The 27,635-nt window shown below is 39.5% G+C and overlaps 1 protein-coding gene across 9 annotated transcripts in view; it reads right to left on the bottom strand.

Annotated features, from left to right (window-relative positions):
* The window catches only part of SCP2 (sterol carrier protein 2), a 124,423-nt gene continuing 98,203 nt past the window's right edge, over nt 1,416–27,635 (bottom strand). For 5 of the 9 annotated variants that reach the window (NM_002979.5, NM_001193600.2, NM_001193599.2 and 2 more), the window contains 4 exons: nt 25,043–25,145; nt 14,068–14,197; nt 5,177–5,256; nt 1,416–2,505 (listed from right to left, as the gene is read on the bottom strand). In NM_002979.5, the coding sequence (NP_002970.2) occupies nt 2,410–2,505; nt 5,177–5,256; nt 14,068–14,197; nt 25,043–25,145 (409 nt within the window). In that variant the 3' untranslated portion in view covers nt 1,416–2,409. Of the gene's footprint in view, nt 5,257–14,067; nt 14,198–25,042; nt 25,146–27,635 lie in introns of all 9 variants that reach the window. The other 4 variants (XM_005271103.5, NM_001007250.3, NM_001007100.3 and 1 more) reach the window with 3 other exon arrangements.

Here is a 27,635-nt window from a genome sequence, read left to right as displayed (position 1 = left end):
ACAAATCAAGCCTGTTTCCACCCTTTCATGCAATGTTCTTTGCATGGTTTGCTCCTTCTTAACCTTCAGATCTCAGCTTAAAAATTACTTCCTCAAAGACATCTCTTTTAACTACTTTATCAAGGTCCCTCGCTATGACTGCTTATCAGAGCACCCTAACCATTTCCTGCTGGGCACTTCATAGTCAATAATAATTGTCTCTTTGACTGACTGTCTCACCCATTAGAATGTAAGCACCTTGAGAAAAAGAGCTGACTAGTATCTCCAGTGAGATTATGCCTTCTATATAGTGCTCTGTACATGGTAGGCACTCAATAAATACTCGTTAAATGAACAAACGAAAGACTCCAAAAGTGGGACATAACACTACAAACATCATTATCATATATCACAGGAGCAAGTGGTGCTGCTAATGGTGAGAAGAGCAAGGGAACTCACATTTACTGAATGACTACCCTAAACTAGCAACTGCTATAGGTACTTTACATGTTATCTCTCCAGCTTCTCATAATCCTAGGAAGCCGATATTAGTATCTCCACTTTATCAATCGGGCAACTAAGACTTGATCTCTTCAACTAGCACAACTAGTAATGGCAGTTTTAACTCAAATTAAAACTTAATCTCCTTCCTCCAAACTATAATACCAGAAGGGGGAAAAAAATCAAACTATTTTATCACTAAGTACTTTTCTATCATGCACACAAATTACATCATATATGAATATAATCCTACTGTAAGAACCAGTTTTTGTTTTTCCTTTTAGTTTTTGAGGTTCATCCTAAAGCCTATTTCAGGTATCTCTTGTTATCTGGGACAAGTGAGGAAAGAATGATGCAGCAAATCCAAACTACAGAGAAATCAGACATTTTGTTGAAACTCTTTTCTTGAAGTCTTTTTCTTCTCAGAGTAAGAAGCTACTATGATTAGGAAGTAGGTCTGTGTTCTGAATTCATTTTATGGAACTTGGGATCAACTTCTATTGGCTTAATGTATCCTCTTGCCCTATCACCAAATGCTGTTCTGCTGGTCACAAAACATGCAAAGCTAAATGGTCTTAGGAGATCTGATCCATAGTCCTGACTATATCAGCAAGGGCTCCAAACACCTAAACAAATGATACCAGCTGGTTGTCTACCTCTGACCACCTATGGGTGAAGTAATGAGTAAACAACAGAAAGGTGGGGCCTGGGTAATTCCCAAACCATTCTACTGTGCTCTGAGGAAACTCACAGGATTCTGAGCAGAAGGGACCTTTGGGATCATCTACTTAAATCTCCTAATAGTTTAGCAAACAGGTCCAGGCAGGCAGTTATCTGCCTAAGAGAAGCAAGTCTCTTGGCTCCCAGTCAAGTGCTCTTTCTATTATACCACACTGCCTCCCCAATCAAAAACTAGTGATTATGTCCAGATAACATTCAGTTTATAAATCCCCCAACGTTTCTCTTTATTCTGCATTATCTAGAGAGCCCTGAGCAAGAACATACACAGTAAAAACAAGAGAGGCCAGAAAAAGTTATTTTAATTTTCTATTAAACATTCTTCTCAAAGCATTATTTTATCCTATATCTCACTGAATTTTAAGAAATAACATTAGTATTAGAAAAACTAGGAAAAAAGATAAATGCAGATAATTAAACTTACATGAAAAAGGAAAATTATAACAAAGGACTGAGAACGTTATAAATTGAAATGAGATTATAATTTGAAAACTGCATCTGAAAGCAAACTTTATTGTTCAATTATTCTTAATGATGGTGTTTTATGACTAATACACTGATTTTTCAATAAGGAAACCCATGTTAAAAATATTTTTATTTTAAAAATAAGCCTGTGTTCAAGCTCTGATCATATTTCTTTTATTTTGATTTGGGAAGAAAATACTGTTTCTGATAGCATGAAATGCAAAATTTTTAGATTTTTAATCTCACTAATTTTAAGAACTATTGAGAAATTGATTAATGACATGAAGTGCACAACACTAATTACTGGCCAGCTGTTGGCATTGTGTTTCTTACTTAGTTCTCCCAAGGAAAACTCTTAAACTGAATCTTCAGCAGAATAATCCTTAAATATACTTTGTAAGCAAAACAAAAGCTTTTTTGTTTACATAGTTCTTTGGATTTTACTGTTCCTAATTTTATTCTGAAACTCAATTTTACCCCAGACCATAATTACCATATTAACTTTGTAATGCACAGTTGTATGCAATTCCGCAAAGCAGTAGTATACCATCAGGCTCTATTCACCCAGAGCATAGGAAAAACAGGATTGGTCACACCCATTAAGAAACAAATCTATCCCACGCTATTTGCCAATGTGTAGTTTCAGTCTAAATTCTGACAATAAAATGTATGGATATATATCTATATATCTCATCTTGATTTTCAAAAGTAGCCAAAGGGAGTTCTTCAGAGCTTAGCGTTGCCTGGCTGAAGCTGAAGATTTTGTAACTTCATAGCGAGACCCATGTTGCCAGTGATTTTCAATTTGCCTTGAAAGAAGGCCTGTGAAGAAGAAAGAAAATTCATTACTTGGTGTTTTTTTGTTTTAAGATTGCTGATGTTTCTACACTATCTAGCCCTGAGATCATTTATTTATCCAGGTCACATGACTTTCTCTAAAATATGAAACTTGGCTTTCTGGAATAGATTTGGAACCACATTCTTCAAAAGGAAGAATTTGTAAAGGCCACACTTTTTGCAGATCAGCAGAAAGGAGCAGCTTTCCCAAATTTCTCATAGAAATTGAGCCTGTTTTCACCTGTCCTCCTCAAAGTGGGTTCATACTACACTGATTATGTTTTAAAACATTCCATGTAGGTGGGAAATATGAACTGAAATTTTTAGCAGGCTGCTGAGAGAAAAAGCATACACAAAAAACACAGAAACTCTTGGGATTCAATCCAACATGCATGTGAATGAAATGCCACCAATGATAAAGGACTTATCCCTACAGAGGGCACAGAGCCTGCTGAGAATGAGGTGCTTGTGTTACTCTTTGGCTCAACAAGAAAAATCAAACCAATCTGAAGTGCAGAGCCACAATTTGTTCCATTTAACAACTGCCTGGGATTAGATCACATGATGTTTGCTAAATTTACCATGTAACAAAATCCCAGGAAAACTTAAGAGAAACAGCAAAATTGGGAACGTAGCATAATTTCCCTGCCATGATCTCAGTATTTTAACTGAATGCTTAAAATAAGGAAGGGCTAGATTTAAAAAAAAAGCTTCTGGTAGTCCTAGGTTTTTAACAGTACATTAAGAAGCTAGGAGCTCTTCTACATCATCCATGGGAATGTAAGGAGCTCTGTTTTTTTCTGTACCTCCTGGTAAGGGTGACTAATTCCTTTTTTTCCCCTTCCTCTGTCTGGACAAACTAAATATTTCCTTTCTATATGGCACAAAGCCTTCTGTCTGATGCCTTAAAGGTCAGGTGTCTCAGAACACAATATATTGAACAAACATCATTTAAAAATACGGACCAGTAGTACAGGAGAAACTCGCCACCTTTCTCCTTTGTAAGTTAACAAAGAAAATCACTTTTTATTTACTAACAATAGAGAAAACATGAATCTTCACCCTTCAGAGAGTCCATACATAAAGATGATTTTAATCTGGCCCCTAGGTGTTCTTCATGTACGCTTGCTGCTGGAGCCAAACACTGAAATTAGAATTTCCACTGCATTTAACGATTTCCAGTCAAATCCTCTGGAAATCCTCTGAGCATAAGGGAAGTCCATTAGCACATTAATAGAAAGGTCTGCTATTTTTATCTTTAATTCCTTTGGGTGTTAACAGGTGCTGAAGGAAAATAAGCTGACACCTTGCCCCCAAAATGGGCAGTACAAAGATAAATTGAGAGAATGAAGGCAGCTGATGTGTGAAGTCTGAACAGCCTGCCAAAGCTGTGCATGGCATGTGCAGTGGGTGGGAAGGAGGATGACAGCCAGCTCCTATACTGGTGGCCTCTGTTCTGTCCAGATTTCTGGAGCAGGCTCAGTGGAAATGTCAGTGCCAATGGTGTGTATTCAGCTGAAACATCACAGATGCAAATTTCTCACTTGTCATGGCATCAACTAAAATGTGCTTGGTTACGTAGAAAAAGCATTTTAAAAAAGCAAGTGGGAGTGAGATTTAGTTGTTTTATCCAATCTTGGAAATTACCAGAGAACCACAGGAATAAAACCTAAAACAAACCAGACTGAGACAACAGAAAAAATTAAGTTACATTGGAAAGAAACGTCTTAGTTTCTTTTTTATTAATGGAAAGCTCAGTATATATCAAGTTGACAGAAAGCTCACTATATCAAGTCCATTCAACACTGCAGCTGAAGAGCCTAAGAGGACCCTTGACAATTTGGGGACTAGGAAAATCTATACAAGGCATAAACACACTTTAGACAAATGCAATTTAGTCCAACAGTTGTTTACAGAATACCTAAAAACATCAGATACTGTGCTAAATTCTGGAAACATAAAGACAAATAAGATGTGCTTTGATGCTTTGAGACACTCACAGCCTAACAGGGAAGAGAGAGAGGCATATTATGACTAACATAACACAACAGGCACTAAGCTGGCAGTCCAGTACGTGGCTCAGGAGAGGGACTGGTTACAGCTCCCCAGCAACTTGGAAAGAGGTCCTTGGAGATAATATCTGAGCTAATTTTGAAAGACAAGTCATTTGTCAGGTAAGGACAGGTCAGGCAAAAAGAAGAGCATGGGCAAATAAATGGAATGTAAAAGGTCAGGCCTTTGTTCATGCCACCCCTCCCTCCTCCTGGAACACTCCTACTTTCCGCCTGGGTACTAAGCTCAAGAGCTGCTTCCTCTGTGGTGCTCTCCCTGATGGCCCAGAGAGATATGGCTGCTCCTGCCTTCATCCTCCCCTGACCACAAGCCAGGTGTGGCACCTTGGATCTCTGGCTGCACTGACTCTTTTACACATCTGTGGATGCCCTGAGCGTGGGAACTTTCTTACTCTTCTGGGCACTTCCAGCACACAAGACAGTGTGTGGCACACAGCTTGCTCCACAGACGTCTGTCAACTGTTTGGGGAACACTGAGTTTTGTGAGTCTGACCACTTTGCACTTTAGAGTCTGAGTCAGGAGATGGAGTAGAAAGGGCTGAAAGACCTACCTACTAGCAGGATATAAGCTCCATCATACTTACCGACTGAGGATTCATTTTACCAGTCATTAAAGCCAGGAAGTCTGAGTCAGCCATTGTGATTGTGCAGTCAGCCTTCTTATCTAAAACAGATACACAGGAGAAGGAAGGAGAATAGGAGGTGTTCAGTTTCACATATACATTTTTGTCAAGAGCCACTGACTGCAACAGAATTATAACCAGCACTGAGGCAGTGTGGGGAAATGGGCACTCACATATACTTCTATGGCAGCCTGGTAAAATGTGACATAAACCACAAGCAATCCTGATATTTAACAAGACGGAATTGATTAAATAAATTATGGTATATTCAAATAGTGAGGTATGATACAAGCCACAATAAGAAATGATATGGATCTGGATTTACTGACATGAAAAAATGTTCATGTTACATTATTCATGATATTATTATATAAGCCAGTTACAAAAGAAACTGTATGATGCCATTTTTGCTTAAAACAGAATTCAACTATATAAACATAGAAAAACATCTGTAAACTTAAGACACCAATATATTACTAATAGTAACTGTGACAGACTCTAAGGTGACCCTCCTGGTGTACATCCCCTTCCTTCCAGTGTGAGTAGAACCTGTGACTTGCTTCTAGCTAACAGAATATGGCAAAGATAATGAGATGTCACTCTTGTCATTTTGTTACATTAAATGATTCTACCTTGCTAGCAGACTCATTCTTGCTCTCCTGCTGGCTCTGAATGAGCTCACTGCTATGTTGTGGACTTCCTATGGAGAGGGCCACGTGGCAGGGAACTGGCCGTTAGGAGCTGAGGGCCAGCTCTGGCCTATAGCCAGTAAAAGAGGGAAGCTATCATTCCCAAGGCCACAGGGAAATGAATTCTGCCAGCAACCTGAATGAACTTGGACATGGATCCTTCCCCATTGAAGCCTCCAGATGAGAGCCCAGCCCTGGCCAAAAGCTTAACTGTAGCCTTGTGTGACTCTATGCAGAGGACCCAGCTAAGCTGTCCTCAGCCTACTTATCCATGGAAACTGTGGGCTAATAAATGTGGGCATTGTTTTAAGCTACTAAATTTGTGGCAATTTGTTATGCAGTAATAGAAAATGAATACGGTTCTCTAGATCAAGGGTTAACAAACTTTCTGTAACAGATCAGACACTAAATATTTTAGGCTTTGCAGGTCAGTAGGTCTCTATCACAACTACCCAATTCTGCCCCTGTAGTGCAAAAGCAGTCATAGATAATATATAAACAAATGTTGGCTATGTTCCAATAAAATTATTTTAAACAGGTGGCAGACAGAGGGAGGAGAAGATATTTGCAACTCATATATCTCTGACAAACAACTCATATACAGACTATATGAAGAACTCCTTTCTAAGGTACAGTGGATTACAGGAAAAGATAAAAAAAAGAACTCCTACTGCTCAACTAGAAAAGGTTAGACGATCCAATATAAAAATGAGCAAATGACACATGTAGGCATTATATAAAAGAAGATCTCCAAATGGCCAAGAAACACATGAAACAGTGCTTCACTTCATTAATCATCAGAAAATTCACATTAAAATCATGATGAGTGCCACATACCTACTAGAACAAATGGCTGAAATTTAAAAAAAAAAAAAAAAAGACAATACCCAGTGTTAGTGAGGATGGGAAACAAATGAAAGGTCAACATAATACCAGAAAGACTGTAAAATGATGCAGCCACTTTCAGAAAACAGTCTGGAAGTTTCACATAAAGCTAAACATACACATACTATATGAACTAGCAATCCTATTCCTAGGTATTTACCGAAGAAAAATGAAAACTTACGTCCACACAAAAACCTGTATGTGAATGCTTATAGTGGCTTTAAGATTCATACTTGCCAAAAGCTGGAAAAAACCCAAATGTGCATCAACTGGTGAAGGGGTAACCATTCAGCAGCAAAAAAGAATAAAATACTTCATGATCCATGCAACAGCATGAATAAATTTCAGTGAAAGAAGGAGGCTCAAAAAGCTACATACTGTATCATTTCATGTGTATGACTTCCTAAGGAAAGCAAAACTACAGGGAGAGAAATCAAACTAGTGGCTAAAAGGGCCTGAGGGGGCTGACTATAGAGGGACATGAGGACACTTTCTGGGGTAATGGAAACTGTCTGTATCTTGATTTCTGGTGATAGTTACACAACTGTATGCATTTGTCTAAATTCACAGAATTATACATCTAAAAAGGGTTGATTTTATTGTTTATTGTTAATTGTACATCAATTAACCTGATTTTTAAAAAAACCTGGCAAGTACCAAGTACTGTCAAAAATGTGGAGGAACTAAAACTCTCATGTAATATGGAAGGAAATGTAAAATAGTACATCCATACCCAAAACCTGCACTTTATCACCTAGCCCTGGGTGCGTGTCCAGTAGAAGTAAGTACGATGGAAATGTCCACTAAAAGACATCTATAAGAATATTCATAACAACTTTATTCATCAGGCTCCCAGATTGAAACAATGCAAAGATACATCAAATGCACAAGGAATAAATTCTGGGGTATTCGCCTAGTAAACACAAACTATTGCCACACGCAACCATATGAATGAATCTTATGCTGTTGAACAAAAAAAAGCCAGACCTAAAAAAGAGTAAATGTTATTGTTCTATGGTTCCATTTGTATGAATTTCTAAAATAAATAAAATCAAGCTATGGTGATAGGATTTGAAATAATGGTTCCTTTTGGGAGTGAATAGTGATAGCAGGGGGGCAGGAGGGAGGCTTCTGGAGTACTGGCAACATTCTGTGTCTTGACCTTGGAGGTGTACTCATTTGTAAACATTCATCACGTGGTACACTCTGGAATTACGCCCTTTACTACAGGCTAGACTTCAACAAAAATTTTACAAAACGCAAAACAAAAAAACAGGTGATGGGCTAGATTTGGTCTGCAGGCCATAATTTGCCAACTCCTAACCTGGACAGTGGAATTTTGGTAGGGTAGTTCTTCGTTTCGTTTGTCTATCTTTTCTAATTTTTTAAAATCAAGTGTATGCAATTTTAATAATACAAAGCTTTTAAAATATTAATTTTATTATCAAAGTAAAATAGTGGAAAAAAGACTGGACAACAAAGACTAATATCTCATTGCTAAATCAGCCATGTCTACCTTGTCCAAATGAGAGGTTTCAAGTGCAAAAGGAAAAATTCACCAAGAAATCAACATTTTCAGCAGTCAACGTTTTAGGCAATCAATTAATATAACAATAGGATTCTAACAGTTGGCTCCTCCTCTCATTAAGAATTAGCTCAAATTAAAGCTGGCCTCTCCCTAAAATGAAGTCACATTTTATTCACAGTGCACTGATCTGAAACTACTTATATGTGTATGTGTTTTCTGTCTGTATTTGTCCAATAGAATGAAAACTTCAAGGGGGCAGAGCCCTTGTCAGTGTTGATCACTGCTATATGCACAGGTCCTTGAAGAGTACTTGACACATAGGAAATCAATAAATACTTGTTGAATAAATTAATAGATTATGTGAATTTCAAAAGATGATCAAATTATGTCATAATAGCTAATCAGATAATCTGTGCCTTAATAAAAGAGACGGAATAGAAGCCGGGTGCGCTGGCTCACACCTGTAATCCCAACACTTTGGGAGGCTGAGGTGGGCGGATCACCTGAGGTCAGGAGTTCAAGACTAGCCTGGCCAACATGGTGAAACCCCATCTCTACTAAAAATACAAAAATTAGCCGAGCATGGTGGCAGGTGCCTGTAATTCCAGCTACTCGGCAGGCTGAGGCAGGAGAATCGCTTGAACCCAGGAGCAGAGGTTGCAGTGAGCCAAGTTCGTGCCATTGCACTCCAACCTGGGTGACAAGAGTGAGACTCCATCTCAAAAAAAAAAAGAGATGGAATAAACTGTTAAAGCATAGTATGCCTATAGTATTAAATCACTGAAACAAGATAGAAAAAAAGGTTTTATTATGTGTCTTACAACTCAGGGATCGCCCCTAAAAAGACTGAGATTCAATGGTCATCCTAACTTAGCTGCTGAGAAAATCTTCTCTTAATACTCGAAAAAAGGTCTAAATCCTTAAAAAATAAACAAATTTACAGCCTAGAAAATCCAGTTCTATTGCAGATATATAACATCAAAGAGCACGAGGTAAAAAACAAACTGAGATAGTTGGACCTGGTCCTAACAGTCCAAGAAAGGACTCTCGGTCATTGAAAGGGGGCTTCAGGAAGTAAAATCTGCTACTGCTGCTGCTATAATATCAGCATTTATTGAGCTCTCACTATGCTGAACACTTCAACATATCTGGTCTCATCTGATCTTTATAACAATCCTATAAGGGTCAGAGGGACCAAATAACTTGCCCAAGACCACATAGCTAGTAAGTAGCTGAGCTACATCTGAATGCAGATTCCTGTTGCCAAAGCTCATACTCCCAATTCCTATGCTCTACAGCTTCCTTTTGTTTTAGGAAGTATGTAAACATTCAACAGCTCAGTTTTAACTGCACCTTCACTGATTCATAGCATTTGATGAATCCCAGATGGTTTCCAAGTTTTCAAAGCCCTTTTGAGGGGCTGAGACAAACCTATGTGTCTAAGCAAAATTAATGTTTAACATATGGTCTGGGGAGGAAACAATGATTTACTGAGCACTTACTACACTAGGTGCTCTATCTTCCTTATCTCATTTAATCCCCACAACAGTTCTATGGATAGAAATTATTCTCATCATATTTAGATAAGACCATTGGACTCTCAGGGAAGGTATATACCCTCTGAGTGACAGAGCCTAGATCTGAACCCAGGTTTGGCTGTTTCTTTTGGCTATGCTCTTTCTAGTTTACCTTGGGGATAGGAGACCCTGAAGCTTTCTGTATCATGCTGCCCATAAAGGGACAGAGTTGAGAACTCAAGGTGCTGAAGGGTCAGAATAAAGGAATGAAGGAATAATATGTTATGTTAGATTAATCAAAGATGGCCTCCTGGAGATATGCTATATGAGTCGTTTCAAAGGAGATGAGGGAAAGGCAGAACTCATGGAGAAGATACTAAAAGGCACCCAGGAAGCAAAAAGAGATGATGGAAAATGCACAAAATCTAAAAATCCATAATATAATCATCTCAGTAATCATTACCAAGCTCTTACAAAATACATTTAAGTAAATCTTACTTTGTTAACAATAAACAAACCCCCTAACATTATGTACATGCCAAATGAACTAGCAATTCTCCTTAAGATGCCGGTTCAAACTAGGACAGGTTATTAATGCTTTAATGTAGCTAATCTCTAACAAATAGCCATTTGTTGGTTGATGTAAAAGGAGCTGGCAATTTCCAGTGATGGCTTTTCTTGGTAAGTCTGTATTTCAACACCACTCTTGGCTGCCAATAAGTGTCAGTTTCAGCAGAAACTATCCTTCCCCAGGGTAAGATCCCTTGGGGTCTGGGGTACAGCACCTAATGTGGGAAGAACATGGCAAGAACGTATCTGGAGGGAACACAGCTTTTCCAAAATCATTCAACAGCTTTCCATCAGCATTTGATCTTTGATGACAAACCAACGCTATCAACCAACAACAAAATAGGAGGAAAAGGAGAAATTAAAAAAAAAACAACCTTAATATCAGTATGGGCATATCTAAATATAAAAGTAACCATTAACCTTCAGTCATTAAAAAAAAAAAAGATCACTACTATAATTCCTGAAGTTCTATTTCTAAAAGCTGGAATCCAGATAAAGCCTTTAGCTTTTCTTTGTACACCACCTTAGAGTGGCAGCTCATAGAATGCAAAGCTATGGCCATTTTTTTCCCATTCATTTTGGAAGGAAAAAAAGGGACTCTGTATAATTCAGGAAACTTCCACAACAAAGCCATGCTGCCCACACTAGACGGATGCCCTAACTACTGCTCAATTTTTCTTTCATTCATCTCTCATCAATCCCTTATTCAACCGTGCACGTTAACAGTGCTCTTCACTTTTTCTCCGGACTCCAAGCTCTACACTCTATTCCAGGAGCTTGCCAACCTCCTCTCCTCTCAAAATGCCCCTGAATATTTAACTACCCTTGCAGAGAAAGAAGTTTCCATCCACCCCTTCTTACTAGAGGTAACCTTGCTTCCACCTGTGCTCCCGATGTCATCCTTTCCTACAGGACCTCCCTCAAAAATGTGCCAGTAACGAAATTTCACCATCTTTGATAGACACGCTTCTTCTATACAATTCCCAGGTCCCATTACCTTCACCTCCAGTATCTCTGGCATCTACTCTCAGAACACTTACTTTTCCCACTGCCTACACTAAGGCTGGTCATCCTCTCCGCTCACTTAGACAGTGGCAACATCTATCCTCCTGATGGCTCTCTCTGTTTCTGATCTCTCACCCCTTTCAATTCATCAGGTCTAATGTACCAGCTTCATCCTCTAAAACACAGCTCTGACTTCACTTTTCTACTTAGGAAGCTCTAATGTATATTTAAAAGCTTTGGTATACTAGTTATATACAAAACGACTTTCAAAGTTCCTATCATGTCATTTTTTTTTTTTTTCTCAAGACAGAGTCTTGCTCTGCCGCCCAGGCTGGAGTGCAATGGTGCCATCTCGGCTCACTGCAACCTCCGCCTCCTGGGTTCAAGCAATTTTCCTGCCTCAGCCTCCCAAGTAGCTGGGATTACAGGCACGCACCACACACCCAGCTAATTTTTTGTATTTTTAGTAGAGACAGGGTTTCACCATGTTGGCCATGCTGGTCTCGAACTCCTGATCTCGTAATCCGCCCGCCTCGGCCTCCCAAAGTGCTAGGATTACAGGCGTGAGCCACCGTGCCCAGCCCCTATCATGGCATTTTAAGCCCTCCAAAGAGCTGGTCCCAATCCACAGTGTTTCTAAATTACCCTAGGCTCTCTCCAACAAGAGAAGCATAACAGTACAGTACAGCTACCACTTACTGAATGCTTACTCGATGCCATTCATTCTGTTGTCCATTTTTAAATTATTCATTTTTGAAGGCCTTCCATGTCTCGGGTACATTCTAAGCACTGGGAATGCAGCAGTGTACCTCAGACAAAAAGCTCTGTCTTCAAGGAACTTACAATTCAAGTGAGAGAGATGGACAATAAGAAAATAAGTAAAATATTACATGGTATATGAGATGGTAATAAGTGCTATGGAGAAAAATAAGGCAGAAAAAGGCAATAGGGAATAGTAATGGGGGTAAGATTTTTGTTTTTTTTTAGACGGAGTCTCGCTCTGTCGCCCAGGCTGGAGTGCAGTGGCGTGATCTTGGCTCACTGCAAGCTCCGCCTCCTGGGTTCACACCATTCTCCTGCCTCAGCCTCCTGAGTAGCTGGGGCTACACGTGCCCGCCACTACGCCTGGCTAATTTTTTTGTATTTTTAGTAGAGATGGGGTTTCACCGTGGGGTTAAGATTTTAAAAAGGGTGGTTAGGGAGTGGCTCACTGAGAAGGTGAAATTTGAGCAAAGATCCAAAGGAAAGGAGGGAACAGGCCACAAGGATATCTGGGAGAAGGTAATTCCGGACAGGGAACAGAGAGCAGAAAGCCCCCAACCAAGAGAATCCCACATTCATGCAACAGCAAAAAAGTCAGTGTTACTGGAGCCAAGTGAGCAAGGACATACATAGTAAGACAGTGAAAACTGAGGCCAGATCATACAGTGCAATTTTAAGAACTTTACCTGCAGTGAGACAAAGCTATTGGATGCTTTTGAGCAGAGGAAGGTAACAATTCGACAAGTTTTTCAATGATCACTCTGGCAGGTGTGCAGAGTAGTGGGCAAGAACAGAATCGGGGAGACCGGATAAAACAATGATGCTGGCTTAGACCAGGGTGGTGGTGGTTACAGAGGAGGACAAGATGTGTTGATGGGTTAAACTGTGGAGTATAAGAGAAAAAAAGTGGCCAAAGATGACTTCAAGGCTTTTAGACCAAGGAACCAGTAGGACACAGGAGCAATTTACCAATTGCAACAGCAGGAGGAGTACATACTTAGAGGGGAGAAGAAATATCTGTAGTTCAGTTTCACACGTTAGCTTTGCGATACCTATTAGGTGTCCAAGTAAACTTGTCAGTTAAGCAGCTGGATGTATACCTTGTAGTTCAGTGGCTGGGTCCATACTAAAGACAAAGTCATCAGTGTAGAAACTGTTTCAAAGCATGGGACTAGTTAAGATCCCCAAGGAATTAAGGCAAATAGAACTGAGCCTTGGAACACTCCAATGCTTAGAAATTTGAAGACAAAAAGAAACCATCAAGAGAGGCCAAGGAGGAACAGTCAGTAGGTAAGGAAAACGTGTAAGTGTAATATCATGAGGGCTGGGAATTTACCACTGAATTTAGCAATGTGGTAGTCACTGGTGATCTTGACAGGAACAGTCTGGGGATAGTGATGAGGACAAAAGCTGACTAGAGTGGGGTCAAAAAAGATTTGGATAAGAATAACTGGCGATTGTGAGTATGGACAGGTCTTCCAAGGCCACCAGCCATGCACTGGACCGTGTGCCTTACGGTTAATTAAGAAAGAATCCTCTTAATCTTCATACCAACCTTATGAAAAGGGGCCATTTATTAAGCCCATTTACAGAAGAGAAAACTGAGTCTCAGAAAGTTAAATAACTTGTTCAAGGTCACATTATGTGAATGGCATGGATGGGACTCCAACCCAAGTTTGCCTAATTCCAAAGCCTAAGATTGGCAACTCTGTGATGGAGCCTCCAAATCCTTGGGAGGAGGTGGCTTTGACCTGTTCCTGTTCCCTGGAATTTACTGGTTCTTTAACATTAAAAGCCAGTCCTTTTTGGGAACAGTAAAGCAGACCCCCATTTTCCCAGCTGACAGCCTTCGTAAACTCGTCAGTGCTCCTAGAATGAAGTCATTCCCAAACTAACCTGAGTTAGGAAGCACTGATCCTTTGCCATTCTTCACATCCACCACCCAGGTGGCCTCTTTACCCCCAGGGCCATCTTTCACCTTGAAGGCAAAAATACCACCGATTTTCTTCACAAACTGTTCCCCTTCCTGGAAAGAAAAATAACACTGGGGTTACATTAAGTCCATTTCTCTGGCTTTCTCCTCAAGCAAATTCATGTTTAAATAGATACATGATATGAGTATACGGGCCAGGGAGCGGTCCCCAAGGTCCCTTATGATCTTTTACCCAGAAAAGTCTGAAAGGCAAGCAGGCAACAACTCCCACATCTGCCAAGTCTTTTATTAAAAATGGCTTTTTAAGCCAGCCATGGTGGCTCATTCCTGTAATCTCAGCACTTTGGGAGGCAGAGGTGGGGGGATCACTTGAGCCCAAGAGTTGGAGGCCAGCCTGGGCAACATAGTGAGACCTGGTCTCTACTAAAAATAAAAAAATTAGCCAGGCATGGTGGTGCATGCCTGTGGTCCCACCTACTCAGGAGGCTGAAATGGGAGGATCACTTGAGCCCAGGAGTTTGAGGTTATGGTGAGCTATGATCATGCCACTGCACTCCAGCCTGGGCAACAAAGCAAGACCTTGTCTCAAAAAAGAACAAAAAGGGCTTTTTAGATACAACTGGTGGAAGGGAAGGAGGGACAGGGCAGCATTTTCTGCCAAAATAGCCCTCGTATGTTTCAATAAGTTGGGAAAGATTCACTCTGGCATCTTTAATGTAGAGATCCCAACCTGCCCTTCTCCGTGTGTGTGTGTGTACACACACATATATAAATGACATATATATATAAGCGTATAAATGGTATATATATAAACACATATAAATTATATATATATACACATATAGGTTTTTTTTCTTTTTTTTTGAGACAAGGTCTCACTCTGTCACCCAGGCTGGAGTGCAGTGGCACAATCAGGGCTCACTGCAGGGTCGATCTCCAGTGCTCAAGCAATCCTTATACTTCAGCCTCCCCCAAGTAGTTGGGACTACAAGCATGTGCCACCACAACTGGTTAATTGAATGTGTGTGTGTGTGTGTGTGTGTGTGTGTGTGTGTGTGTATAGAGACAGGATCTGGATCTGTGTGTGTGTGTGTGTGTGTGTGTGTGTGTGTGTGTGTGTGTGTGTGTGTATGTAGAGACAGGATCTCCCTATGTTGCCCAGGCTGGTCTCAAACTCCTGGGCTCAAGCAATCCTCCTGCCTCAGCCTCTCAAAGTGCTGGGATACAGGGGTTAGCCACCACAGCTAGCCTTATGTATATTTTTGGTTCCTTGCAATCAGAACTTAAAGACAAGTGGTTCTGAAATCAAGGCCTTTTTTGTTGTTGTTCAACTCATTTTCTCTATCAGTATAAAGAATTATAGGAGTAATATACCATCCACCACTTGCTTTTGGACATCGGGGAAAGAAGCTGGCCTAAATACAGAAAAAAAACTCAGACCTATATCTCTGCAAGGGGGTTTCCCTTCTCCCTCCCGTCCTCTTTTTTTTCCCTTCATTCCCAGCCTTTCCTTCCTGAAGCATTTATTGAGCCAAATATTGTTACAGGCACCAAGGATATAGAGATAGGAGTCAGAAAAGTAAGTAATGTCAATACGCTATGATCACTATGACAATACGCTGCGATCAAGGGAAACACAGGGGACTGCAGGAGCACAGAGGAGCAGCTAAGCCAGCTGGCAGGGTGAATAACAAAAGGAGGACAACAAACTCACACACCTTGTTTAAAAGAAACAAGAGCAACCTAATAATTTTATTGAAAAAAAATTTTTAGAGAAGGAACATTTATTTCACTGTGGAAAAATTAGAAAATATCAGTAAGCAAGAAGAAGAAAATATAAATCATTCATCATTTATTATTATTATTATTTTTTGAGACAGAGTCTTGCTCTCTCACCCAGGCTGGAGTGCAGTAGCATGATCTTGCCTCACTGCAACCTCTGCCTCCTGGGTTCGAGCGATTCTCTTGCCTCAGCCTTCTGAGTAGCTGGGACTACAGCACACGCCACCATGCTAATTTTTTGTATTTTTAGTAGAGACGGGGTTTCACTATGTTGGCCAGGCTGGTCTCGAACTCCTGACCTCAAGTGATCCACTGCCTCAGCCTCCCAAAATGCTAGGATTACAGGTGTGAGCTACTGCACACGGCCAAAATCATTCATAACTTTATCACTCAAAGAAAATCATTTTTGGTACATATATATGCAGAGAAAAAAAATGGGTTTTGTACCAAAAACAAGAAAATCTTTCTGTAAACAGAAAAAGTAGATTACAAAATATGATCTCATTTAAGATATATATCTTTTAAATGGAATCTGTTTAATTATATTAAACAGAAAAGATTATATATATATGTATCTTAAATGGGATCTGTTTAATTATATTAAACAGAAAAAGTAGATTACAAAACAATATGATCCCACTTAAGATATATATATATAAGATTTATATATGCTACATATATATTATTATATATATATTCAAGAAGGTCTAATAACTTGGCTAGGTTTGTAGAAGTACAAGGAAGAGCAAGAATTCAAACCTATTTTGATTCCTAGATTTGGTGTTCTTAATTAGCAAAGTTTAATTCTAGGGATTTACCCTTAAATAAATGAGGCTCTGTAAAAATATTTAGATATGAGAATGTTATTCACAGCATTGTTTTAAGAGCCAGAAGTTAGCACGAGCCTGAATAACAATTAACAGGGTATTGATTAAATAAAATATAGTATATATATGTTATATATAAAGCTTTTATATATATATCTTAAATGGGATCATATTGTTTTATAATCTACTTTTTTTGTTTAATATAATTATCCTAATTACTGTGTCACTAATAATATTCTACATAATTTTAAATGGTCACATATAGTCTTTAATTGTAAAAGTATACCATATTTATTTAACCAATATCCTGTTGATTGTTATCAACAAGTTAGCCAAGTTACTTTCTGAATCTCAGTTTTCTTTTTTTTTTTTTTTTTTTTTGAGACGGAGTCTCGCTCTGTCGCCCAGGCTGGAGTGCAGTGGCCTGATCTCGGCTCACTGCAAGCTCCGCCTCCCGGGTTCACGCCATTCTCCTGCCTCAGCCTCCCGAGTAGCTGGGACTACAGGCGCCCGCTACCACGCCCGGCTAATTTTTTGCATTTTTGTATGAATCTCGGTTATCTTATCTGTTAAATGGGAATAAAACAGTAACTACCCTCACAGAGCTGTAAGAGAATTATGTAAATACCCACAACACACAGAGTACTCAATGAATGTTAGCATCTTGTTGTTGTTGTTTTATTCTATGATCTAGCTATTTCTGTGCCAATATTATAGCTTTATAATACACTTTACTCTGACACAGCAAATCTCAATTATAATTCTTCTCTTCCAAATATTCTTGGCTATTTTGGATTTTTTTTTGGACACATTTTCCTTTATATGTACTTTATAATCACTTAGTTCTTCTCCCAAAATGTTGTTGGAGTTGGATGGGGTTACATAAAATATATAGATCTGTTTAGGAGAGAGGTAGTATCTTCACAATATTAAGTCTTCCCATCCACGAATATAGTAAATCTTCACCTTTTCTTTAATGTCCTTTGGGAAAATGTTGTCTTTTTTTTGCCAACATAGACTTCTGTACATTTCTTGATAAGTTTATTCTTAGGTATTTTATATTGTTTTTGTTAATAGCACATCTTTGCATTAAATTTTATGGCCAGGTTATTGCAAATATATAGAAAATATACTAATCTTTTAATGTTTATTTTGGAACTGGCAACCTGTTGAGTTCTCTTTAATTTCTAATAGCTTTTATTTCCTATCTTCTTTATTTCAGCCTTACATATCTGCAATAATTTATACACAAAATTCTTCCTTTTGGTATCATATTAATTTTTTTTTTTTTCTTTGAGACAGAGTCTCACTCTGTCACCCAGGCTGGGAGTGCAGTGGCGTGATCTCAGCTTACTGCAAGCTCCGCCTCCCAGGTTCATGCCATTCTCCTGCCTCAGCCTCCCAAGTAGCTGGGACTACAGGTGCCCGCCACCACACCTGGCTAATTTTTTGTATTTTTAGTAGAGACGGGGTTTCACCGTGTTAGCCAAGATGGTCTCAATCTCCTGACCTCATGATCCGCCTGCCTCGGCCTCCCAAAGTGCTGAGATTACAGGCGTGAGCCACCGTGCCTGGCCTCATAATATTAATTATTTTAAGAAAGACTTAAGTGTTTACAATGTTCAGGCACTCTGATAAGTACCTGAAATACTCAAATAATTACTGCCCCTGAGGAATTTACATAAACTGACATTAGATACTAACCTCTGTTTCTAAGTATGCAGAGAGCCTGGCCTAAGTTCACTATTTCTTTTTGTTGTGTTTTGTTTTACAACAGCATTGAGATATAATTTATATCCTATAAAATTCACTCTTTTAAAATATTCAATTCAGTGGTTGTTTTAGTATATTCAAGGTTGTACAACCAAAACCACTATCTAATTTTAGAGCATTCTCATTAACCCCAAAAGAAACTCATACCCATTAGCAGTCATTCCCTGTCTCCTCCACCCCTCAGTCCCCGGCAACCACAAATCTACTTCCTGTCTCTATAGATTTGCTTATTCTGGACATTTCATATAAATGAAATCATATATTTGTGACTGCTTCTTTCACTTAAGCATGACGTTTTCAAGGTTTATCCACATTGATGCATACATCGATCAGTCTTTCAATCTTTTTTTTTTTTAAATGGAGTCACTCTGTCACCCAGGCTGGAGTGCAGTGGCATGTTTCAACTCACTGCAACCTCCTCCTCCCGGGTTCAAGTGATTCTCCTGCCTCTGCCTCCTAAGTAGCTGAGACTACAGGCGCGCACCACCACGTGCCAAAAAAAAGTACTAAAAATTTTGGTGTTTTTAGTAGAGATGGGGTTTTACCATGTTGGCCTGGCTGGTCTCAAACTCCTGACCTCGAGTGATCCACCCACCTCGGCCTCCCAAAGTGCTGGGATTACAGGCATGAGCCACCATGCCCGGCCTCCTTCAATCCTTTCTACAGCTAAATAATATTCCATTGTATGGATGTAACATGTTTTGTTTATGTATTCAGCAGCTGATGGTTGTTTTCATTTTTTCCTATTATGAATAATACTGCTATAGACATTTGTGTACAAGTTTTCATGTGAACATAGGCTCCTAATTTCTTTTGGTTACATATCTAGAAGTGTAATTGCTGGGTCATAAGGTGATGTTTAATTTTTTAAGGCACTCCCAAAGTGGCTACATCATGTCACAATGCTACCAGCAATTAATGAGGGTTTCCAATTTCTCCACATCCTCACAAACAATTGTTATTGTCTTTTTTATTTTAGTCATCCTACTGGGTGTGTCAACCTTTTTTTTTTTTTTTTTTTTTGAAATGGAGTTTTGCTCTGTCTCCCAGGCTGGAGTGCTGTGGTGCAATCTCAGCTCACTGCAACGTCTGCCTCCTCGGTTCAAGTGATTCTCCTGCCTCAGCCTCCCAAGTAGCTGGGATTACAGGCACACGCTACCACACACAGCTAATTTTTTTGTATTTTTGGTAGAGATGGGGTTTCACCATGTTGGCCAGGCTGGTCTTGAACTCCTGGCCTCAAGTGATCCACCCACCTCGGCCTTCCAAAGTGCTGGGATTACAGGCGTGAGCCACTGTGCCCGGTATGTCAACCTTTTTCTTACATATAGGTACATTCCCTGAGAGCCACCTGGAATCTTAGACATGGGTCTTAGGACTAAATATTTTGTTTTATCCTAAAATATTTAGTTTTAATAAGTAGTCCTAAAATGTTTAGTTTTAATAAGTAGTCCTAAAATATTTAGTCAGGGACTACTTATCTGAATAGTCATGGCAGCATCTCTTACATGTGAGTATCCTGAAATTAACTACCAATATTTTCTACTTAAACCAAGAAACCAAAATGACTGTCAGGTTTTTCTTTTAAGTGAAAAAGAAATTCTCTTATGTTGGCTTCCCTTAAAAGAGCTCACTTAAATTATTTTAAGTTAACTGTAGAAAAAAACTACTAACAATACTAATATTTTGAGGGCCCTTCAAGTTTTTAATACTTTTGTATTAAATATATTTTGTATATATAATTTCTTTAATCTTCACAAAACCATACAAATAGTTGGGCAGACATTAGTATTAGCTCATTAAGCAGAAAAAGCAATTGAGGCTTATAAAGATTAAGAATGCTTCTCCTCTATACTGCTGCCAAGTAGTCCATCTAACACTAACATATCCATCTGACACTCTCAGGCTTGAACTTCTTAGTGGCTCCCCACAGCCAACAGGATGAAGTCTGTCTTTACATATTATCCTAGAGTCTTCATGATCCGAAGGATATTTGTCTGTTCTTATCTCCAGCCACTTTCTCTTCCTCTTCATCTCTGAATTCCATGAACATGTTGAATTCCATGAACTTACGTGCCAAGTGCTTGTATGCCTCCATGCCCTTACTCATACCCCATCCCAGGACACTCACTTCTTCCTAGCCTCTACTCCCACCCCTGACCTCATCATTCAAATCTCAGCTCACATGCTAACTCTTTTGGGAAGGAGTCTCTATCTCCACCAGATATTTTGATGGCCCTCTGCACATAAACCCATGTTGCTTTTTTCTGGAAATATTTTTCCATGTCTCTCTTCCCACTAAACTCTGTGTTCCCTGAGAGGCAGGGACATATGGCTAGTGGGTAGTACAACCAGAACTCAATCCCAGGTTGCTTTAATCCCAAATTCAATGCTACTTCCATTTGACCATACCACACTGAAACTGTAGGTCACATCAACATTTCTAAACTTTAGCCGATGACAGCAGAGCTGTATCTGGCACCATAAAATGAAGAAAGTTCAAAGTCTTCTTCACATTCCTTAAAATCTTTTATCTCTCAAGGTTCTGTAGAAATAATATAGGAGAGGGGGTTAATAGTGTGCTAGGCCACCTGAGAGGAAAGCTTTCTCTAGAGCCAGTGGCCCATGAATGACTATTTCCAGGTGCATCCATGCCATCTGCTTGCACAGTGCCTCAGGAATACAGCTATGTGCAGACACCAACAAGTTACAGCAGGAAAACACCAGCAAACATTTAGAAATTCTACCTGCATACTTGAAGAGAAATTCCTATAACCTTACTACTTCTCCTCCCACCTCCTTAAAATAGATAGAGAATAATCTGCACTTGCTGCTACTTTTCAGAAACAACTGATCCTCTTATAAAATCACATCCCTTCGACAATAAAACATTTTCAATTGAAGTGGGAGTGAGAGAGGGTAAGGAAACTGATGAGGAGAAAGAGTTTAAAGGGAAAATAAAATACAGTTGTGAAATTGGAGATCATTAGTACTGAGAAAGTTCTGAGTGCCTCCTTGCTTGAAGAAAAGTACTTCTTTCTGAGTAGGCAAAAGGTTAAGGAGTAGGTCCTGTGGCAAACTTAATAGGGACAAAAAATTAAGACAGAATTCAAAGAAGGGCAATGGAGAATTGCTAACAAAGACAAAAGTGGAAATAAAATCTTTTGCCAGGCTGCCTTTGCTAATGCAGAAAATGCATGAATTGACAAAAGATTCCAAGACTTTTACTTTCTAGTGCTGCAAACACTTAGGAAACTGACAATCGTGGGAAGGAGAAAGAAACAAGGGAACAAGGTTGGTAGGGAGGTTATAGAGAAAAGAATTAAAATGGAGCAAGAGGCATACATTTGCAAAGCTAAAAGAATACTGTAAAATAAAAACCACACTAATTTGTAAATCCCAGTAATGAAGTATTCAATGACTGATATACTGCCATATCTCATACTTCATAGTAGATAATCTCTACATTAATTTAGTTGATTTTTTTTTTAGATGGAATAGGGTTGAAATAAATGAAGCAACTTGTCAGACGCCACTATCCTATGTGTTCCTCTGCAGGAATATATTGGCAGCATTTTTAAAAACCAAAACTTTTAAGCCGAGACTTTATAGAGTGCAACTTCATTTTATAGGAACACTTGTAATGAAAGAAGTTCAAGAAACAATGAGATATTTTTTCCTACTAGGTTGGCAAAGCCTTTTTTTTTTTTTTTTTTTTTAATTTTTTTGAGGTGGAGTCTCGCTCTGTCACCCAGGCTGGAGTACAGTGGCGTGATCTTGGCTCACTGCAACCTCCGCCTTCCAGGTTCAAGCGATTCTCCTGCCTCAGCCTCTCTAGTAGCTGGGACTACAGCTATCTGGGACTGCGCCATCATGCCTGGCTAATTTTTATATTTTTAGTAGAGACAGGGTTTTGCTATGTTGGCCAGGTTGGTCTTGAACTCCTGACATCAAGTGATCCACCCGCCTCAGCCTTCCATAATGCTGGGATTACAGGGGTGTGCCACTGTGCCCAGCCCAGAGATTTTTTTAAAAACCAGCCAACATAGTATCAGAGGTGTGAAGTAAAAATAGTTAGTCTCCAACATAGCAAGACCCCATCTTTACAAAAATAAAAATAAATAAATGTTTTAAAAGGAAAAAATAGTCACTCTCATGAATTGGTAATGTTTGTAAGTTAGTACTCTCTTTCTGGTGGGTAGTTTGGCAATATGTATCAGCATACAAAATGCACGTAGCCAACCACCCAACAATTTTCCTCCTTTATTTATATTAAATTGATCATAGCTTAAATACTTAAATATGAGTGCAACAGGAAATTTATTACAGCACTGTTTTACTTGAAAATGTTAAATACAACCTGATATTCATCACAGGAAGCTACTTAAATTTTGACAAATACATATGAATACATACTATGTATTAAAAATGAGGGTAAACGGCCGGGCACGATGGCTCATGCCTGTAATCCCAGCACTTTGGGAGGCCAAGGTGGGAAGATGACGAGGTCAGGAGATAAGAGACCACCCTGGCAAATATGGTGAAACCCCATCTCTACTAAAAATACAAAAATTAGCTGGGTGTGGTGGCACGTGCCTGTAATGCCAGCTACTCGGGAGGCTGAGGCACGAGAATCGCTTGAACCCGGGAGGTGGAGGTTGCAGTGAGCCAAGATCGCGCCACTGCACTCCAGCCTGGGTGACAGAGCGAGACTTTGTTTCAAAAAAAAAAACAGGGGGTAAAGATTTAGATTTATGGCCATGGAACATAATGTCAAAAGAAAAACATAGGTTATAAAACAGGTAGCCCCATGTGGATGCATCCCAAGATGGTTGCAGGACAGGTCTGCAGCTTCTAGGCCAATGCCTGGCCCTGCTCTCCCTCAGGACGGTTGTAGATTATAATGAAAGTCCTGGGAATACTGGGTTCTTTCACAAGACACATCAGTTATATCACCTGTATTCCCATCCACAGTGCAATCATCTCAGATATTAAGTAGTCCTCTGGCCTACAATAAGGGTTATGAGATAAGCACAATGTTTGCCTTTCACACCATGGCTCTAACGTGAGTGAAATACAGTTTAAACATTCTATTTATTCCAGCCCACTTTGATCACCTTAATAGATGTGTAATTTGCATTGTGATTATGGCTGTAACCATGCCTTATACGGTCTCAGATCTAAAATCCATAATGAAATACATCCAGGCAGAGGCTCACGCCTGTAATCCCAACACTTTGGGGGGCCAAGGTGAAAGGATCACTTGAGCCCAGGGGCTCAAGGCTGCAGTGAGCCGTGATCATGCCACTGCACTCCATTCTGGGCGACAAAGTGAGACTCTGTTTCAAAAAAAAAAAAAAACAGAAAGAGATCCCAAGATTCTTCTAAGTTTAAAACAATGAAATAAATATCAATTTTGCGTGAAGAGAATAACTTTCTTTCTGGAGAGTTATTTTTAGATTGCCTTAGTATGATTATTACCTATCAAGAACTAATTATTGTATATAAAAATAGATCCGCATATATAGTATAATAAAAAACAACAGGTGTTGTGGTGGGCACGGTGGCTCACCCCTGTAATCCTAGCACTTTGGGAGGCCAAGGCGGGTGGATCACTTGAGGTCAGGAGTTCAAGACCAGCCTGACCAACATGGTGAAACCCTGTCTCTACTAAAAATACAAAAATTAGCCTGGCGTGGTGGTGGGTGCCTGTAATCCCAGCTACTCAGGAGGCAGAGGAACAAGAATCACTTGAACCCGGGAGGTGAAGGTTGCAGTGACCCAAGATCATACCACTGCACTCCAGCCTGGGTGACAGAGCAAGACACTGTCTCAGAACAAAACAAAACAAAAAACAATAGGTTTTTTTGACCCTAGGTTAAAACTGTAAGTTAATATACACAGAGAAAGATGTCTGAAAGAATGTTAACCACTGTTAACATTTCAGTAAACTCTGAGTGGCAGAATTTGGGGAGATTTTAAACTTTTGTTTAAAAGGTTAAAACAAAAGTATAGTATAAAATTTATACTATTCATAAACATATATTTCTGTATAGTATTTTTTAAATTAACATCATTTTTAAAACAAAAAAATTTTTTAACTACTTTAAGAAATCAAAACACAATTTCTTTTTACAAAGAATTTTGATATATATACAAAAAAGGCTCATTTTAAATATTATTCTTTGAAATGATTTTAAGTAAGACCGTTTTAATTCAAAGGAAATTACAGCAAAATAAATTAGAATCCCTTTATATTTGAACTTTGCCCATGACTGAATGACCCTCTGACAAAGAGGACCTAGAAAAGAGTGACAATTTTAACAGTATTTATTATAGTTCTTTAGCTCAAATCTGGAGATTCATACATTTCTGAAATGCATTCCTTTTAGAATTACAAGGAAGCCTTAATAGACACTCAGAAATCTAACTACACTCAATACTTGACAACATGATATAAATTTTCAATTGTACCACCTCGTGGCAACACCTGAAACCTGTGTCTGCTTCCTCTAGCCTCAAGGTCCTTCCTGGCAATATTTTACATAAATCTTACCTCTTCAAGTTTCTTCTCAATCTCCTTAAAAACAAGATTTGCCTTAAATCCATCACTTGCAGAGCTGGTTGGAACAGCTTCAATTTGATGAGTTCTAAAAGAACTGGGGAAAAGAAACTGTTTCAATTCATGGAGTCACATAGGTACTAGGTTTTTCAACATTTATAAAATAGTAATTTTCAAAATTTTCAAAAACCCTAAGAACAGAGATGTTGCAAATCTTATCCAAAGGAAATCTTTAGTAAGCATATAAAATAATTAAGCTTGGCCGGGCGCGATGGCTCAATGCCTATAGTCCCTGCACTTTGGGAGGCCGAGGCGAGTGGATCACCTGTAGTCGGGAGTTCGAGACCAGCCTGGCCACCATGGAGAAACCCCGTATCTACTAAAAATACAAAAATTAGCTGGGCATGATGGCGCATGCCTGTAATCCCAGCAACTCAGGAGGCTGAGGTAGGAGAATCGCTTGAACCTAGGAGGCGGAGGTTGCAGTGAGCCGAGATGGCACCATTGCACTCCATGCTGGGCAACAAGAGCGAAACTCCGTCATAAACAAAGAAACAATTAAGCTCTTCTTCTCATTTTTTCAACACATAATCAGCTCATTAGGAGCTAGAAGTTTTTCTTGAAAATACAGTAAACCAAAGAAGCTACCCTCATGAATCTTACATCCTAGTGGAGGAGACAATTTAGAAACAAAAAAATAAATAATATAGTTAGCCAGGCACAGTGGCTCACACCTGTAATCCTACACTTTGGGAGGCCAAGGCGGACAGATCGCTTGAGCTCAGGAGTTCGAGACCAGCCTGGGCAACATGTTGAAACCCCGTCTCTATAAAAAACACAAAAATTGGCCTGGTGTGGTGGTGCGTGCCTGTAGTCCCAGCTACTCAGGAGGCTGAGATGGAAGGATTGCTTGAGCCTGGGTGATGGAACCAGACCATTTCTAAATAAATAAGTTATTTATTAACCTATTATGGTGGCATGTGTCTGTAGTCCTAGCTACTCAGGAGGCTAAAGTGGAAGGATCACCTGAGCCTGGGAGATAGAGGCTGCAGTGAGCTATGATCACACCACTGCACCCCATCCTGGGTGACAGAGTGAGAACCTGTCAAAAAAAAAAAAAAAAAGTGCAGCAGTTGTTCAATAAGCATCTGTCTTTTTCTACCCCTCTCCTCTCATGTATGTCTCCCTGCAGTCCTCAAATCCATTTCTCCTTCCTCTTTCCCTTTTCCTTCTATTATTTCATACTTTTTCTCTCTCTCTTTCCCACAGGGACTCTGTCGCCCAGGCTGGGGTGCAGTGGTCCTGTCACAGCTTACTGTAACCTCGAACTCCTGGTCTCAGGCAATCTTGCCTCAGCCTCCCAAGTAAGCTGGGACTATAGGCGCATGCCACCATGCCCAGCTAATTTTTCAAATTTTTTGTAGAGACAGGGGCCTTGTTATGTTGCCCAGGCTGGTCTCAAACTCCTGGGCTCAATCGATCCTCCCACATTGGCCTCCCAAGGTGCTGAGATTACAGATGTGAGCCACTGTGCCTGGCCTCGTTTCATAAATATTTAATGACTTCTTGCTACATGCCAAGCAAGACATTTCAAAACACTGGGGATATGATAGTGAACAGATCAGACCCAGTCCTTGCACTCACTTAGTTTATATTCTTCCAGTGGAGGAGAAAAAGAAGTAAACACAAAATAACTGCAAACTGTACCAAGTACTTTGAAACAGGAGTAGGGTGACTATAGTTTACTATACATTTACATTTCTAAATAGCAAAAAGAGAATAATCAAAAGAGAATAATTCAAATGTTCCTAGAATAAAGAAAAGACAAATATTTAAGGTGATGGATATCCCAAGTATACTGATTTGATTTTCACAAATTACATGAATGTATTAAATTAGTACTTGTACCCTGAGACTATGTACATCAGTTATGCATCAATAAAAAATAATTTTAAATTTAAAAAAAAGGAACCTACTTTAGGAAGGACAGTCAAGGAATGACCTCTAAGACCTTATTAAAGGAAGAAAAGGAGCTAGCCATTCAAAGAGGAAACTGCAAAGATCCTGAGGGAGAAAGGAGTATGTTAAAAGAAAGTCAAATAAGACCAGAGTCTCTATAATACAGTAGGTGTGGGGAGAGTGACATGAAATGAAATTGGAGAACTAGGCAGGCCAAATGATGATGCAGGCAGGCCAAAGTAGGGAATTTGGAAATCCATAGAAATGATAACATGGAAGTGAAATTGTTTGATTTGTGATTATTCTTACAACAGTGTGCTGAACGAATGACGATGGAGAGAGGAGCAAGAGGAGTGGGCACTAGTTAGGAGGCTGTTGGAATAATCCAGATAGGAGGTGATGGTGGCCTGGACTACAGAGGCAGTCTGCCAGTAGATAGAGAGTGGGAATAGATTCAAAATAGAAATAGAATCCACAAGCCTTGCTGTGGGGGTGAGGGAGATACAAAGAGGAAAGGGCAAGGATTATCCAGGCATTTGGCCTGAATAACTGGGTGATGGAGAGGCCATTACGAGGACAAGGAGGAATGTAGTGGGAATAGAGGGGATCCAAGTTCTGTTTAAGGCAC

Source organism: Homo sapiens, chromosome 1, assembly GCF_000001405.40.
Source record: "Homo sapiens chromosome 1, GRCh38.p14 Primary Assembly".
Taxonomy (NCBI): domain Eukaryota; kingdom Metazoa; phylum Chordata; class Mammalia; order Primates; family Hominidae; genus Homo; species Homo sapiens.
The sequence above is the reverse complement of the archived record's forward strand: the minus strand, read 5'-3'. Positions and strand labels throughout refer to the sequence as shown.